The sequence below is a fragment of the Homo sapiens genome, chromosome 7 (genome assembly GCF_000001405.40).
Source record: "Homo sapiens chromosome 7, GRCh38.p14 Primary Assembly".
Lineage (NCBI taxonomy): Eukaryota > Metazoa > Chordata > Mammalia > Primates > Hominidae > Homo > Homo sapiens.
The window spans coordinates 141,481,402-141,497,126 of NC_000007.14; the positions used below are offsets into that span (position 1 = coordinate 141,481,402).

The 15,725-nt window shown below is 43.9% G+C and overlaps 1 protein-coding gene across 2 annotated transcripts in view, besides 3 other annotated features; it reads left to right on the plus strand.

The window, feature by feature from the left end:
• TMEM178B (transmembrane protein 178B) overlaps positions 1 to 15,725 on the plus strand; it is a 437,233-nt gene that overhangs the window by 407,338 nt on the left and 14,170 nt on the right. The window contains exon 4 of one of the 2 annotated variants that reach the window (XR_001744505.2): positions 449 to 627. Coding sequence is in view for 1 of the 2 variants with exons in the window: in XM_017011636.2 (XP_016867125.1) it covers positions 449 to 498 (50 nt within the window). In the remaining variant the exon portion in view is untranslated. Of the gene's footprint in view, positions 1 to 448; positions 3,550 to 15,725 lie in introns of those variants that run through there. The other variant, XM_017011636.2, reaches the window with a different exon arrangement.
• Positions 360 to 1,559: an enhancer, noted in NCBI's record as "MED14-independent group 3 enhancer chr7:141181561-141182760 (GRCh37/hg19 assembly coordinates)". NCBI's record gives its function as "activates an origin of replication core promoter dependent on BRD2, BRD4, P300/CBP and CDK7 cofactors, and independent of MED14, by STARR-seq in HCT116 cells {active_cell/tissue: HCT116}" and the evidence as "EXISTENCE:reporter gene assay evidence [ECO:0000049][PMID:35650434]".
• Positions 3,636 to 4,137: an enhancer, noted in NCBI's record as "NANOG hESC enhancer chr7:141184837-141185338 (GRCh37/hg19 assembly coordinates)". NCBI's record gives its function as "activates a minimal SCP1, AML or CMV promoter by ChIP-STARR-seq in naive H9 embryonic stem cells {active_cell/tissue: H9 hESC(naive)}" and the evidence as "EXISTENCE:reporter gene assay evidence [ECO:0000049][PMID:30033119]".
• Positions 9,037 to 9,590: an enhancer, noted in NCBI's record as "OCT4-NANOG hESC enhancer chr7:141190238-141190791 (GRCh37/hg19 assembly coordinates)". NCBI's record gives its function as "activates a minimal SCP1, AML or CMV promoter by ChIP-STARR-seq in naive H9 embryonic stem cells {active_cell/tissue: H9 hESC(naive)}" and the evidence as "EXISTENCE:reporter gene assay evidence [ECO:0000049][PMID:30033119]".

Here is a 15,725-nt window from a genome sequence, read left to right on the forward strand (position 1 = left end):
AGGGAGAGGAAGGATACCTGAATGAGAGGTATATTGCTGCATCTCCGTGTGGTAGATCTCTAGGGTGGCCAAGTGGGTGTGACATAAACCATGACAGTGATTAGTGTCGTGGCTAGTAGCCTCTGTGGAAAGATGGGCACAGTGCTGGGCCTTGCACAAGAAGACCTGCGTGGATTTACTCTGATATAGAGTAATATCAGCTGTGGAACTTCTTTAAAAGGGGCATCCTGGAGGTAACAGAGACAGTAAAGCATTTAAAAAGTAAGTGCAGGTGAGGGCAGGTGACTTATAGAATAGATGAGGGAAGGGTTTTACAAGTGGAAAAGAACTTGAAGAAATGGGAGAGCCCCACCCCACCTTGATAGTAATGTCCCTTAGAAGAGAGAAAGAATGGAAATACCACTGATCTTAAGAAGTGAGCAAGACTTTCCACCCTTGCACCTTCCAGGGAAAACAGGTGGAATTAAAGAGTGTCTGCCCCAGCCCGGGCAGGGGTGAGTAGGATGGGGAAGACGTTCTCACCAGACCCTGGGACTTCTATGCTGCAGCATCGTGACCTGAGGGGTGGATGCAGTTGCCAGCAGCTCTTTGAGGCAGAAGGCCCCGATGCTCTGTGGACAGCCTCAGGTAAGCCACAGGAGACATTCTGTTCTCCTTTTTCCAATGCAGCACCACTTTGATTTCCGTGTCTCAAATGAATTATGCAGCCCACAGAGTTTAGCAGAGACCTGGGTTTGTGGGAAACACACCTACTCCTCCTCACCTTAGCTTCAGAGCTTCTGGGCGCAAATGTTCCTAGTGAGAGCTGTTAAATAATTGCAGACAGGCAGTTCCAAGAGCCGTAACCAAGCCCTCAAAATACCCAGGGTGGTTCATAGAGGGCAGTCTCCTCCAGGAAGCCTTCCTCCCTGAACACCCACCTGGGCGAAGAGCTCTTTCCCTAACCCTGTGGCAGCATGCTGTGTCTCTCATGGTGCTTAGCACCTCTGGATGAAAGTATTGCTTTCCTTGGGATCCTCGCAGGCACTAAGCTGTCTTGAAGCACAGGGATTCTGACTTACTCATCTTGGTATCCCAACAACTAGCAGCACCTGGTGAGCAGTAAGTGCTCAACAGGTGCTTACTGGTCTGAACCAAACTAAAGCCTTCCCCCATCCACCTCCACAAGTGGATTCTTGGTGGCTGGTATTAAATTCTTCTTTAGAGGTCCCCAAGACCACGCTCGGATTCAATGATTTGTCTGAAGGACTGACAGAACTCAGAAGAGCTACTATACTCAGGGTTATGGTTTATTACACAGGAAAGATACAGATTACAATCAGCAAAGGTAAAGGACACATAGGGCAGGGTTCAGGGGAGACCAGAAGCAAGTGTCCAGTTGTCCCCTCCAGTGGATTTCAACGGACAGCACTTAATTCTCCCAGCAATACTGTGAGAAAACATGGAAGAAGCATTGGCAATCGGGAAGCTCACCTAGCCTTGATGTCCAGGGATTTGTGTGTGTGTGTGTTTGCGGGGGGCGGTGGGGGGGTGGTGTTAGTCACCTAGGCATGAAGTACCTATGTGGCTAACCTTAGTTACTCAGTCTCCAGCCCTGTCAGAGGTCAAACTGATGACCCATGGCCAAGGTCTCCACCATAAGTCACATTGTTAGCATCAACTATCTAGCATGACCCAAGGTACAGCAGGTGAACAAAGGCATTCTCATCAGGCAAGGTATTCTAAATGATCTATGGAGGTAATTTAGAAGTGATCTATCTCCAGGAGCCAAAGGCCAGAGCTCCCTTGGGATGGGCAGAGTTGGGGTAACCCAAGCCCAGAGCTGAGTCAACCCTCTACTACACACTGAGCTATGTGCTGAGTCAGAGCAAACAAAACACACTTCCTGTCCACATGAGAGTTCCTTTCATGTATCCTATATTCTTTCTCTTTCCCTCTACAGACAAATCCAGCCATGGCCCTCTTTCCCCGGGAAGACCATTATGTCTAGCGGTCTCCTTTCTCTCTGCTTCTTCTCAGGCAGCTCCATGCACCCTTCATAAGAGGCTGGGGACAGGGGGATGAGGGTGGAAAGAGCACAGTACTTGAATCATTAAGCAGGTCTGGATTGAAGTCCTTCCCCATATAAATTGTGCCACTTGGCCTCCTCAACCTGTGTCTTGTAAAAACAGGTATTCCAACACCTCTGTCCCATACCACTTTAGAAAATGGAAGAGTTAGCAAATATGAGAGTGCCTCGCCCAGAATCGTTATTCAGTAACTGTTAGCCTCCCTTCACCTCCCATGCACAATTAGTCCTTTTTCTTTGTTAAGCAGATTCTATATCTTGCCCTTCTTCTTTTTTTTTTTTTTGAGATGGAGTCTCACTCTGTCGCCCAGGCTGGAGTGCAGTAGCACGATCTCAGCTCACTGCAAGCTCCGCCTCCCGAGTTTAAGTGATTCTCCTGTCTTAACTTCCCGAGTAGCTGGGATTCCAGGTGCCCACCATCACGCCTGGCTAATTTTTGTATTCTTAGTAGAAACAGGGTTTTACCACGTTGGCCAGGCTGGTCTCGAACTCCCGATCTCAGGTGATCCACACGTCTCGGCCTCCCAAAGTCCTGGGATTACAGGCATGAGCCACCATGCCCAGCCTAAGAAGTATTTTAATACTGAAACCTGTCCAGTGCTTAGTGTCCCACACGTACCCCACTCACCACACCCAAAGCTGACAGCAGATGTACAATGGATATATTAATATTTTAAGTGAAAACACATTTATTGTATTCAATCACTGTTTAGTCTTTGCAACTATCCTATACAGGTATACAGCTATGTGTAATAAAATCATGTTTTGAAATATTTTTAATTCAGGAGAGGAGAAAATCTGGGATTGAAAATACTCATTCCCTCTGCAGAACTTTCCTTTGCTAGGAGTGATAGAAATGTTCTAGAACCTTGCTACTCCTCCACGGGTGGTTCTCGGACCAGGAGCATCGGTATCACTTGAGATCTTGCCAAAAATGCAAAATCTTAGGTCCAACCTCAGATCTACTGAATCGAAATCTTCATTTTAACATGATCCCCAAAGGATTTGTGTACACTGGTCTGGAACATTCATTTACCTAGGTGTGGTTTGAAAGATTGCTTCAACACTTCTGCTAGGTTTTTGTTTTTGTTTGTTTGTTTGTTTGTTTTTGAGATAGAGCCTTGCTCTGTCACCCAGGCTGGAGTGCTGTGGCTTGATCTTGGCTCACTGCAACCTTGACCTCCAGGGTTCAAGCGATTCTCCTGCCTCAGCCTCCTGAGTAGGTGGGACTACAGGTGCACACCACTACGCCTGGCTAATTTTTGTATTTTTAGTAGAGACGGGATTTCACCATGTTGGCCAGGCTGGTCTCAGACTCCTGACCTCAGGTGATCCGCCCGCCTCGGCCTCCCAAAGTGCTGGGATTACAGACGTGAGCCGGGCTCAGCTGCTAGTATATTTTATCTAGAATAATGATCACATAGGACTTCAAAAGACAATGAAAAAAAAAATCAGTCTGAGGTTTCAAAGCCACACCAGAAAAAGCATCAATTTAAACTAATGTCCATAGAAAAACCCTTCCTGCTGGGTCTAACTCTGGTTTTTAGGGTAAGTACCAGGGGAACAAGGCCTAATGAGCAGGTGTCAGGGAAGCATTGATTCTATAGTAGCCTGAGAGCAGGTGTGCATAAGACCACATGGGTTTCAATCACCACAGGAGAGCAGTCTTGGGTAGTCACAGGAGAGGAGCTTGCTTTTGCCTCTTCCTGAGAAAGCCCGGACCATGTGACCAAGTAGATCTGAAGGATGAGGGAACTGGAAGCCATCATCCTCATTGTCACTTCTTTTGTGTTCTTTGTAAGCTAGATTGCAAAGATTTCATTCATGACAGTTTAACTCACGGTTACACGTAAGGACTCTGGAGTCAGACCACTTGAGCTCAAACTTGGCACCATCTGCTAGTGTTGTAACTTTGGGCAAGATATTTAGCCTCTGTGTGCCTCACTTTCCTCCTCAACAAGTGGGGATAATAAAATAATACCTGCCTCACAACATTGTTGTGAGGATACAGTGAGTTAATCTCAGCCACATGCTTAAAACACTGCTTAGCATATTAGTAGATACCATATAAGTATTTATTATTAAATAGTTTAAAATGTCAATGGCCTGTGCAAAGTCCCACTGGCTAATGAGGTGATGTGACTCTGCAGCTGCGTCTTAAAGCAGATCCTTCATAAAGAATACCAGTGGGAAAGGATTTTCTGTGGAATAGCACTTTGAACTCGATGATGGTGCAGGTCATCTGGAGTTAGTGGGGAAGGCCTTTCTCCATGTCTGGTGGCATCACTGGCTGGGCCTGGAGCTTCCCATGTCAGGGTGTGATGCCACTGATTGGGCTGCAGCCCCTACGGTGATAATATCCACAGTTCCATCCCCTGTCCGGTGGCTGGGACTGCAGTTGGACTCCCTCTACATTCACAATGTACTTCAATCTCTCAGTTGTGTTAGGGGACCAATAAAGAACCCTGCTTTAGCTTGTATGTTCACTGCAGCACTATTCACAGTAGCAAAGATATGGAAGCAACCTACATGTCCATCAACAGATGATTAGATAAAGAGAATGTGGTGGTGCATATACCCAACGGAATACTATTCAGCCATAAAAAGAATGAAATCATACCTTTTGTAACAACATGGATGGAACTGGAGGCTGTCATCTTAAGTGAAACAAGTCAGATGCAGAAAGACAGACACCATGTGTTCTCACCTATAAGTGGGAGTTAAATAATGTGTACACATGGACATAGAATGCAGGATGATAGACAACGGAGACCCAGAAAGGTGAGGGGGTGGGAGGGGAGTGGATGATGAGAAATTACTTAATGGGTACAATGTACATTATTCAGGTGATGGATACCCTTAAAGCCCTGACTTCATCGCTAATCAATGCATGTAACAATATTACACTTGTATCCCACAAATTTACACAAATTTTAAAAAAGAGCCCTGCTTCAGGACCCTGTCTGCCCCCAGTGAGGTGGAAATGACTGTGAAATGAGTCTTTCATATACCTTCAGAGTCCATCTTGTGTTGTCACTGAGGTTTGGAACAAGGGGTTGCCTAGGGTGGGGGACTCCTTAGCTTTTGGTCCCTTGGTTCCCTACACTACTCTTTAAATTTTGGCAATGTGCTATATAGGGTTAAGACTAAGTAAGTAATTCTCCCCCTCCATGGCCTTTAAGCTACAAGAAAAAATTGCAAAAAGAACAAACACTACTTATAAGTAGAATTGTTTTTTAAGCACATATTTTGTGTCAGGCACAGTCCTGGGTTATGGGGATGGAGCATTGACCAGAACAAACTAATCTTTACCCTGAAGTTGCTGACAGTGTCATGTGGGGTAGGGAGAGACCGGTAATGAAATAAGTAGTAGTCAATATCGTAATACGTTATCTGGAAAAAAAGACAAATCAGGGAAAAGGAATGGAGGTGCTAAGCGTGTGGTTTTAAATAGGGACAGATGACATTCTGATAACAACCAGAAGGAGATGAGGGTATGGGGAAAGATCTGCACTCTAGGGACACAGATGCTGTGGTCCCTGGGTCAGACTTTAGGAACACAAGCAGAGGGAGGAGGAATGGGGAAGAGAGCAACAGAGCCCATTCCAAGTCAAATGTTCGCTGCAACTTCATGCCAACATGCTGTTTACACAAACTGTGGGACTCAAATTGGGGTTTTCACCACACTGTGATGCTGCTGAGCCATTTTTTACCCTTTTCTTCCTTATAGCTCAGCTTCTTAGTAAGAGACGGACCTACCAAGGGACATGCAGTTTCCTTTGTCTCCTTTCAGCCCTGAAAGTGAACCACTGAGACTGGTATTCAAGTATATTTTTGAATGGAATTAGCCTATCTGGCACAGTAAAACCCAGTCCGCCAAAGGTCTTCTGCCCTCTGTATTAACACGTGTTCTCCATCCGCGACAATGGAATTCCATTGTTGTGTACTTCAGGAATCACAAATCATTTTAGTGGCCTAAAAGACTTTGAGCCAGGTGCGGTGGCTCACACCTGTAATCTCAGCACTTTGGGAGGCCGAGGCAGGCAGATCACTTGAGGTCAGGAGTTCAAGACCAGCCTGGCCAACATAGTGAAACCCCGTCTCTACTAAAAAATACAAAAATTAGCCTGGTGTGGGGGCGCATGTCTGCAGTCCCAGCTACTCAGGAGGCTGAGGCAGGAGAATCACTTGAACCCGGGAGGCAGAGGTTGCAGTGAGCCGAGATGGCGCCACTGCACTCCAGCCTGGGTGATTAGAGTAAGACTCCGTCTCAAAAAAAAAAAAAAAAAAAAAAAAAAAAATTGTGGACTTCACGACCTCCCTTGCTCACAAGGATTATCTCTGCTTGAGAAGAAAAAGGAAACATTTCAAAAAATGTAAAAATATAAACGTTCAATTAAGACAAACTTTTCTTGTTCTGCGTGCTCCTTCCCCGCAGTGGCATCTTTGGAGTTAGTTCTCTTAATCTTTTCAGCAGTATCCAAATTCCTTGGGTGTTTACCACCATAATTGGTGGTTTTAATAACCTGATAAATGCTCTAAAATTGTAGGCCTTAAAAGATAATTATCTCTGAGGTTCATATACTAGAACAGTGAAGGGTTGGGACCTAAAAAAAAAAAAACTTTGATAATCTATATCTACAAGGTGAGTGGGAAGAATCTCCATAAGGCACTGCTTTAGAAGGTAAAATGATGCTTATGCAAAGTAGTTCTCATTAATTCTGAACCAAATGGTCATAAAAACAAAATGGCCTTCAGAAAGTACTCTAGCTCTCCAAGCTTGAGAATTTGGTTTCTAGCCCCCAGAGGTCTGCCTTTTAATATAACTTTCAAATGCTGAAGGATTGAGCTTCATCTACACTAAAATTAGGACTAAGCAAAAATAAAATCTATCCTTAGCTATTTTGGAGGCCAAGTGTGGATTCATCCTATTGGATATTGCATGGCTTGGAATATGCATTTTCTTTTTTTTTTCTTTTTTTCTTTTTTGAGACAGAGTCTCGCTCTGTCACCAGACTGGAGTGCAGTGGTGCAATCTTGGCTGACTGCAACCTCTGCCTCCCGGGTTCAAGTGATTCTCCTGCCTCAGCCTCCCGAGTAGCTGGGACTACAGGTGCATGCCACCATGGCCAGCTAATTGTTGCATTTTTAGTAGAGACGGGGTTTTCCCATGTTGGCCAGGATGGTCTTGATCTCTTGAGCTCGTGATCTGCCTGCCTCAGCCTCCCAAAGTGCTGGGATTACAGGCATGAGCCACCGCGCCCGGCCTGCATTTTCTTCTGGAACAACCCAGTTCCTCTGATACTGAAGACTTTTCTGAAACTAAAATATGCAAAGACTTTTAAGTCATTTTAGAAAAAAAAAAAAGATGTCAGTTTATCTGCACTAAGAACTGCAATTTAAAAAACCAAAGGACTCTTAAATTTAATTTTTTTCCCCCGTTGGAGAAAATAAGGAAAAGGCAAAAGAATAAGGAGGAGGAGAAAGAGAAGGAGGAGGGAGGAGGAGGAGGAGGAGGAGGAGAAAGAAGTAAGAAGTAGGGGGCATCTGCAATATCCTACCACCTAAAGATAACCACCATTAACATTTTGACATACTTTTTTCTGGTTGTTAAAATATTTGTGATCATGTCGAATACACAGCATAAGTGTTTTTACATACTGGCTTGTAAAAATCAGGGGCATTCTCTTCTTTGTGCTGAATACTTCATCCTTCCATCTCTTATCATCTTCCTGCTTCAACATCAAAATACTTCAGCTTGAAAAGAGGCCAGACTTTGAGCAGCAGCTCCAGCCTTGATCTGGAAGCCCATCTCAGTTTTAAATCCTGCATCTTGCCTTCAAGTGCATAACAGTGAAGCTCCACTTTTCATTTTGCCCCCCTTTGTCCCTTAATAATTAGCACAATGGTTCTGCCAATAGCTAAGCTGCCGGTTGGCTTCTTCTCCATCATTTAATGAATTTCCTTATCAGAGCCATCATTAAAGTGCTGCTTTTCCTGTTGTTAGCGATTTTGAAGGATTATATACAGGTTATTGTATTGTGACCTCTTACTTCCCTCATTTCTCTTTCCTTCCTCCTCTCAATCTCCCTCCCTCCTTCTCTCCCCACTCCCTTCATGTGTGTCTCTCTCTCATTCTCTCCCCAGTCCCTTCATGTGTGTGTCTCTCTCTTTCTCTCTGTCTCTCTCCTCCCCGCTGCCACAGGCACACACATTTTCCCGTGTTCTACCAGCAGAACAGAAGTAAACCTGAATACTCAGTTGGGAAACTTGTGGGAAAGCAGTTGAGAAAAACTGAGGTGTAGGGATTAGATGAGGGCTCAAGATTTTTGCATGCTTTCGTACAAAATAGACTATAATGTAAATAACATCCTCTAGATTTGTGCAGTACACAACCTGGACAATATTCACAGTGGCCCAGTGGTGCAATCTCAAGGCTGAATCCCAACGAAGGTGAAGAGAGCACACAGGAAGCAAAGCTTAATGCTTGCTCATTTGTATAGGGGTTGCTACAAGTGTTAGAGTGGACACATGGATGCGATTGTCTGGTTGCCCTCAAGCAAGCTGCTGTTGCCTATTTGGGAGTATTTGACTTAGTGAGGAGGGGCTCCTAGGAGAGATGATTTGCAGAGTCCATCTGTGAAGAATCAGCCGTGGTCTTCCGCTCCCTCCCCAGCCTCCACACTAGCTGTGGAAGCCTGGACTAACTTCATACTCTGACAAGGAAACAGTGCTGGTATTACTATGAATTGTGTCCCTCCAAAAAATGTTGAAACCTTAAGCCTCAGTACCTGAGAATGTGACCTTATTTGGAAATACGGTCTTTGCAGATGATTAAGTTAAGATGAAGTAATTAGACTTGGCCCCTAACTCAGTATGAATGGTGTCTGTAAAAAGAGGAAATTTGGACACAGAGACGTGCACATAGGGAGAATGCTAGATGAACATAAAGGCAAAGGCCAGGTGACACATCTATAAGCCAAGGAACCCCAGTGATTGCCAGTAACAACCAGCAGCTTGGGGAGAGGCATGGAACAGATTCTCCCTCACAGCCTCAGGGGGAACCAACCCTGCCAACACCTCCAGAACAGTGAGACAATACATTTCTGTTGTTTAAGCCAACTGCTTTGTGGTACTTTGTCACAACAGCCCCAGCAAGCTCGTACACCTATTGAGTGTGTAGAGAAGCACAGTGTGGAATCTCCTTCTCCAGAGATGCCTTTGTCATTTCAAAGAAGCTTTCCCTTTTATGGAGATGGGTCTCCTAACCCCTAACACATCAGCATAAGGTTGCTCCCTTTCTTCAGCAGCTTCCCGTTTACTGAACCCTTGCTAGGTCCTAGGCCTCATGCCAAGAAAGCCCTTTAATGTGTTTTTTAATTCACTCCTCACCATGTCTCTATGCAGAAAGCATGGCTATTAGCTATCTTTGCAGATGAGAAAATGTGCTCAAAGAGGTTAGGTGACATTTCTGAGGTTCACACAGCTGGTATGTAGCAAACCTAGGATTCAAAATCCAGATCTGTCTGCTCCAAAACTCATACTCTTTTTTATTTTTTACTTTTTTATTTTTTTTGAGGCTGGGTCTTGATCTGTTGCCCAGGCTGGAGTGCAGTGGTGCAGTTATGGCTCACTGCGGCCTTGACCTCCCCAACTCAAGAAATCCTCCCACCTCAGCCTCCTGAGTAGCTGGGACTACAGGAGCATGCTACCATGCTTGGATCATTTTTGTTTTTAATTTTTAGTAGAGATGGAGTCTCCCTAGGTTTTCCAGGCTGGACTCAAACTCCTGGGCTCAAGTGATCCTCTTGCCTTAGCCTCCTAAAGTGCTGGGATTACATGTGTGAGTCACTGAGCCCAGCCAAAACTCATATTCTTAATGATCATAATGTATTTTCCTTGCCACCATGTAGTTTATATTTTCAAAATCCTTAAACATCTTTAAATTTACCTTTTATTTGCTCTCTCTAGATTCTTTTCATAAATCCAAACTTCTTATTTTGTTAAAGACATATTTTTATTGAGGGAAAACACTCCCTATGTTCACCCTATTATAATTTTACTTGACCTGAAATTGGGCAGTTTGAAGTTTTCAGTGACTGATAACATGAGCTTCCATTTTTCGAGCATTTACTATATACCAATCACTTTACATTAATTGTCTCTCTCAATCTCTATACCAAGTCTCATTTTTCAGACATGAGTTTAGGTAATTTGCCAAGGTCACATAGGAAGCGGGGGTCATGTCAGATTTTGACTGTAGAGCCTGCATCTTAACCACTTTGTTTTATTGTATATCGGTTTTTTCCCTACTAAAGAGAATAAACAAGCAAAACATAAAAGCACTTGGAGCCTGGGCCCTGTTGCAGGAATGCCATCGCGTGCCCTTTCACCTGCCTCCTCATCTCTCCCCTGGACCACCACAGTCATCAGCAATCTGCATCCTCCCACTCCACACCCTCCCATTCAGTCTGTGCCCAGGAGCCATATTGAAATGAAATACACATCTGATCACAGCACTCCTAGGCTGAAAACCACTCAATGGCCTGCTGTTGTACCAAGAAGAAAATCTACATGCCTTCTGAGGCCTTCAAGGCCCTATTTCTTCTGACCTTCCCTATTATTGATCCTCATCTGCCTACCTCTCCTTAACGCACTAATCTGACACCACCTCAGTCTAATTCCAGTTCCTCTAGCAATGCCAGCATGTCCTGACCTCTCAATCTCCCCATGTGGTCCCTCTGCTGCGCACAGTCTCCCCATTTTTCCCTCGCTCCTAATCATCCTTCAGATCTTGGCTTACATGACACTTCTTCAAAGGCCTTCCCTGATCCCCCAAACAAAAGTAAATCCTTCTCTCTTAGTCTTAATATCGGACCCTGGCTTTGCAATGCACTTTTATTCTAATTTGCAATTATGTTGTTTGTCTGCTCATTTGTTTTTGTCAGCCTTTCCCACTAAAAACTTACGTTCCACAAGGGCAGGGACTCTGTCTTTAACTCTGCAGCCCCTGAGCCTAGCACAATGCCTGGCACATACTGGCCTGCGAAATGTGTGTGGAATCAATACATAAAAGGAAGGAGGTCAGCACCTACTAGGAACCACGTAGATATGGACCGCTAAAGGCGAGTTTCCGTAACAGGACCTCTGAAAAGAGGTGGGAACGACAGAAATGAAAATGGGAATAAATTCTGCTTGTTCCTTCCACCTTCGTTTCATTTTTGTGGTTCCTAGAAACAACGAGCACATCAACTGCCTGATATTAGAGCTGAGCTGCTAACCACCCCCTCTTCCTGTTCTCACAAACCCCATTCCTGACTCCTCTCTCTCTTGTCCCCAGTGAGAGGTGGCCCATTCAAACCACCACCTCCCACCTGTGCTTCAAAAATGTATTTTCCTTCTCCACATCTTAGATCTCACTGTTTTCCTCATTTTGCCTCATTTCCTTACAACAAAGAGTCTGGTGATCTTAGAGGATTATTAAAGGGGGAATAAATATTGATGTGTGTGTGTTGCAGTTGTAGGGAAAAGAGGGAAATGTAATGGAAATTGCCAAGTAACGGTTCTGCCTGTTACCTGGTTGCCAAGGTAATTGTGAATCTCCATCTTGCTCTTGACCAGCCATGGGCAGCTGAGAACACTGGTGGTACATGTCTCCCCAGAATCCACCTGAGTCCTCTGCAGGTTGTCTGTGTGACATCTCCCCAACCCCAACTCCCCTCCGCAGTCTCTCCCCTCCTCACGACCCTCAGGAAGAAGCAGACTCTTGGCCTGTGATCTTTGAACAGAGACAGGTGGTTGTTAGAGCCCTTGCTATGTGTAAGTGAGAAGATGTTGAGTCCAGATGTGTGCGCACTTGTGTTCTGACGAAGGACAGAGACGATGCCCTACAGATGTTGGAACAGCAGAAATGCAACCTCTTCAAACCTTGAGGACTGTTGACTTCACAAGAGAGAGAAAGTACCCACCCCTCATCCTTCCCAAACTGTTTTTCTACTAAAGCATCCAGCTCATGGAGAAAATAGAGACACATGGCATCCCTAGCAGCTGGAGCCCACCTGCGGCTGCAGTCCAGGAAGATCTTCTCAATTCTGTCTTCACCAAACCACAAGGAGAACTGCAGGTAATTTTTTTGTTCATTTTCTCCTCCATCCTGTTACACCACCAGCTCCATCACCTTCCGCTGCCCTGACGTGAACATGAAGCAAGGAAAAGAGATGGGCAATGGTCTCTTTTTTTCATCTTCCAAGAGTTTTTAGTAATATTTTTGCTTTCCTGTCAATGCATATCTTCATTTGGCTATTTTCCCTTCCTTCACCTGGTCTTCTAGATTTTGATGGAATATACATTTTTCTCTAGAAATACAATTGCTGCCAATACAAATTCAGTAGGGAAAATACTGGGTGTGATTTAGAACCACCTGGTGAGCCTCATTTCTCTGATAAAAATTTCATGGCTCTTGAAAACCTATGTATGCATCCATTATCTCATGTGATATTAGAGCCACCAATGGCCTTGCTTCACTTCCAGAATCACTGGCAAATCTTACTTCTTTCTTCCTTTCCCCCCTCCCCATTTCCCAGTTTTCTAACTAACACGATTATTTTAAAGGAGTATCTGTGAGATTAAAACAAATACTATATTAAGATTATGTGCCTTAAAATGAAAGTAGCTTCTATCTCTACTTCATTTTGGAAAGTACTTATCTACCAAGAGGAGAAGATAAGGATCCCCTGACTCTGCCATTTCTCTTTTATAGAGATAAGAGTAGACAGATTTTGTAACTTTTATTGAATTCGGTGGACACAATGACTTTATAACTATTATATACAAGTTATAGAAAAGTTGATTCTGATTTCAGTTATTGCAACAGGCTTTTTCCTATTCCTTTCTTCTCATCCTCAACACCATCTGAAAATTTTTAGATTTATATGTCCTTTTTAGCCCTAAAATTCTAAGAAAAAGAGGCAATGAAGTCAGAGGAGTTATCTAAAGTCACCCAAGGAGAAAGAGACAAATCTGAGACTTGAACTCAGTTCTCCCAACTCTGAACATTTGCTTTCATAACATTTAAAAAATCATATTAAAATTGTTATGAGGCCATTGGAAATTTGAACACCAACTGCACTGAGTATATTAAAAATTATTGTTCAGCCCAGAACAGTGGTTCATGCCTAGAATCCTAGCACTTTGAAAGGCCAAGGTGGGAGGATCGCTTGAGCTCAGGAGTTTGAGACCAGCCTGGGCAATGTAGTAAAACCTCGTCTCTAAGACAAACAAACAAAAAAATTATGTTAATTATTTTAGGAGTGTTAATGATAGCATGAGTATATGTTTTTAAAGAGACCTTATATTTTAAATGTAGGCGCTGAGATAGTTATGGGTTAAGTGATAAGATGTCTGGGATTTGCTTCACGATAATATAGGAGGTGAGGAATTGGTTAAGGTACAGAAAAACAAGATAGGTGATAAGTTGATAACTATTGAAGCCGGGTGGTGGGAGCACCATCACATGATTTTCTATACTTTTATATATGTTTGAATTTCCCATAAGTAAAGTTTATTAAATAGTAAAAATAAAAACCATGTTTTCCTCATACATCTTTCCAAATAACAGACTATAAGATCCTGATTTTGGGATTTGCATCTCACAGTTATTGCAGGGGACCAACATGTCAAATCCCAAAATAGATTTCAGAGCAGACATGGGGATTAAGAGACCAGCTAAATATTCAGCCACAAATGGGTCATTGCTGAGGGAAGCCAAGAGTCCACTAGAAATGCAGGGAGCATGTCACTAGGTTGCCAAAAATATGCCCAGATTCTGACAGATGTCCCCTCTGAGGAAAGCACAACCGTGCTCTCATCTTCAGTGGAGTCAGCACCCAAGGACCCCTAAAATAGCACCAACAATGCCTTGCTGGTGTGTTAAAGAATAGCAAAAGACATTTTTAGTTTCCTCAACATGATTTTCATTCTTCTTTCTTAGTGCCTTATCAAAGAGAAGCCTTCTTGGGCACCATTAGTGGGTGGTAAATTGGTGGGGGTGCTTTAGAGGACAACTTGACAATATCAAGATTTGAAAGGCACTTGCAGAAATTCCCTTTCTGGAAATTTTGCCCCAGTTATATTTATATACAGATACTTATACAAAGATATTCATTGCAGCATTGTTTGCTATAGCAAACATCATAAACAACTTAGCATTCATTCTTGGAAAATGGCAAACATAAATCTGGTCATATAGTGGAATACCATATAGTCACTAAAACAACCAAGGTCCATCTCTGTGTGTTGGTTATAGAAAGACGTACAAGATAACCATTAAGCAAAAAACACCAGACATGTAAGTTTGATCTTAGAGGAGACTAGCAGTTTCCAGAAGGTATGTGAGTTTGTCCTTAGACACAGTTGAGAGTCGCCCTGGACTGGGGGAAGAAAATTGATAGAGCCAATATTCAATCCAGGTGTGTCTGTCCACAAAGACTGTGTTCCTAACCATTCACAGCCTCTTCATGTTTACATACTTGATCTTTTGCAATTCTGGTGGCATGAACTTGGGGATTCGGCCATTCTCTGCAGTGCCCAGCACTTCCTTGGACCTGTGGGCCCCAGAGCTCTCTCAAAAAGAGCTCCTAAGCTCTGGGGCCAGATGGAGCAAGCTAAGCACATGCTCCTATGAAGACCTGGCCCCCAGTGTCAGTCACTGGAGATGTGGCCTCTTGAAATTTTCCCCTTATAGTTGGGACACAGTGTCTTTTCATTTTTCCCAGGGATTTCTCCTGGGGCAAGATGGAGGAGGCCAGCTCTTGAACTTTTCCCCTTGCTGTCAGTGGCCTGTGAGAACCTGGTATGTGATCCATATAAGGATCTTTCTCCTTGGCATGTCTTTCTTTCAGCTTTCTTTCCTTTGCTTTCTTCAGGAGAGATTAAAAGAAGCTTAAAACCTCTGTAGATTTGGGAGGCCGAGGCGGGCGGATCACGAGGTCAGGAGATCGAGACCATCCCGGCTAAAACGGTGAAACCCCGTCTCTACTAAAAATACAAAAAATTAGCCAGGTGTAGTGGCGGGCGCCTGTAGTCCCAGCTACTTGGGAGGCTGAGGCAGGAGAATGGCGTGAACCCGGGAGGCGGAGCTTGCAGTGAGCCGAGATCCCGCCACTGCACTCCAGCCTGGGCGACAGAGCGAGACTCCGTCTCAAAAAAAAAAAAAAAAAAAAAAAACCTCTGTAGAAGGGAAAAGAAGACATGACAGAGGAATCATTTTAAAATCACTATGTTTCTCCAAAATATGGAATTACTGCAAAAAAAATGGTCTAAAATCAAAAGAATCCTAGTTTTTCACTTCTGGAAGTCAATGTTGAGTCTCTGTGTTTGACCTATATATTTCCCCATTGTATTCAATGTACTGATACATAAAGAAAGCATCTCAGTATGGGGGTAAGGTGGTAGTGGTTCAGACTCCCACAGAGATTTGGTGAAGACAGGGAGAAGATCTTTCACATACAGGCTGAAAACAAGTTCAAAAATCAGGTAGAGGCTACGAGATTGCTGTGGTCAGTGTGGGGCTGCAGGCTTGAGCCTGAGGCTGCTCAACCAGTTTTGCTCTTGAAGTCCCTGTAGCCAGCGGTGGAGGTGATGACTTAGACAGTAAGAG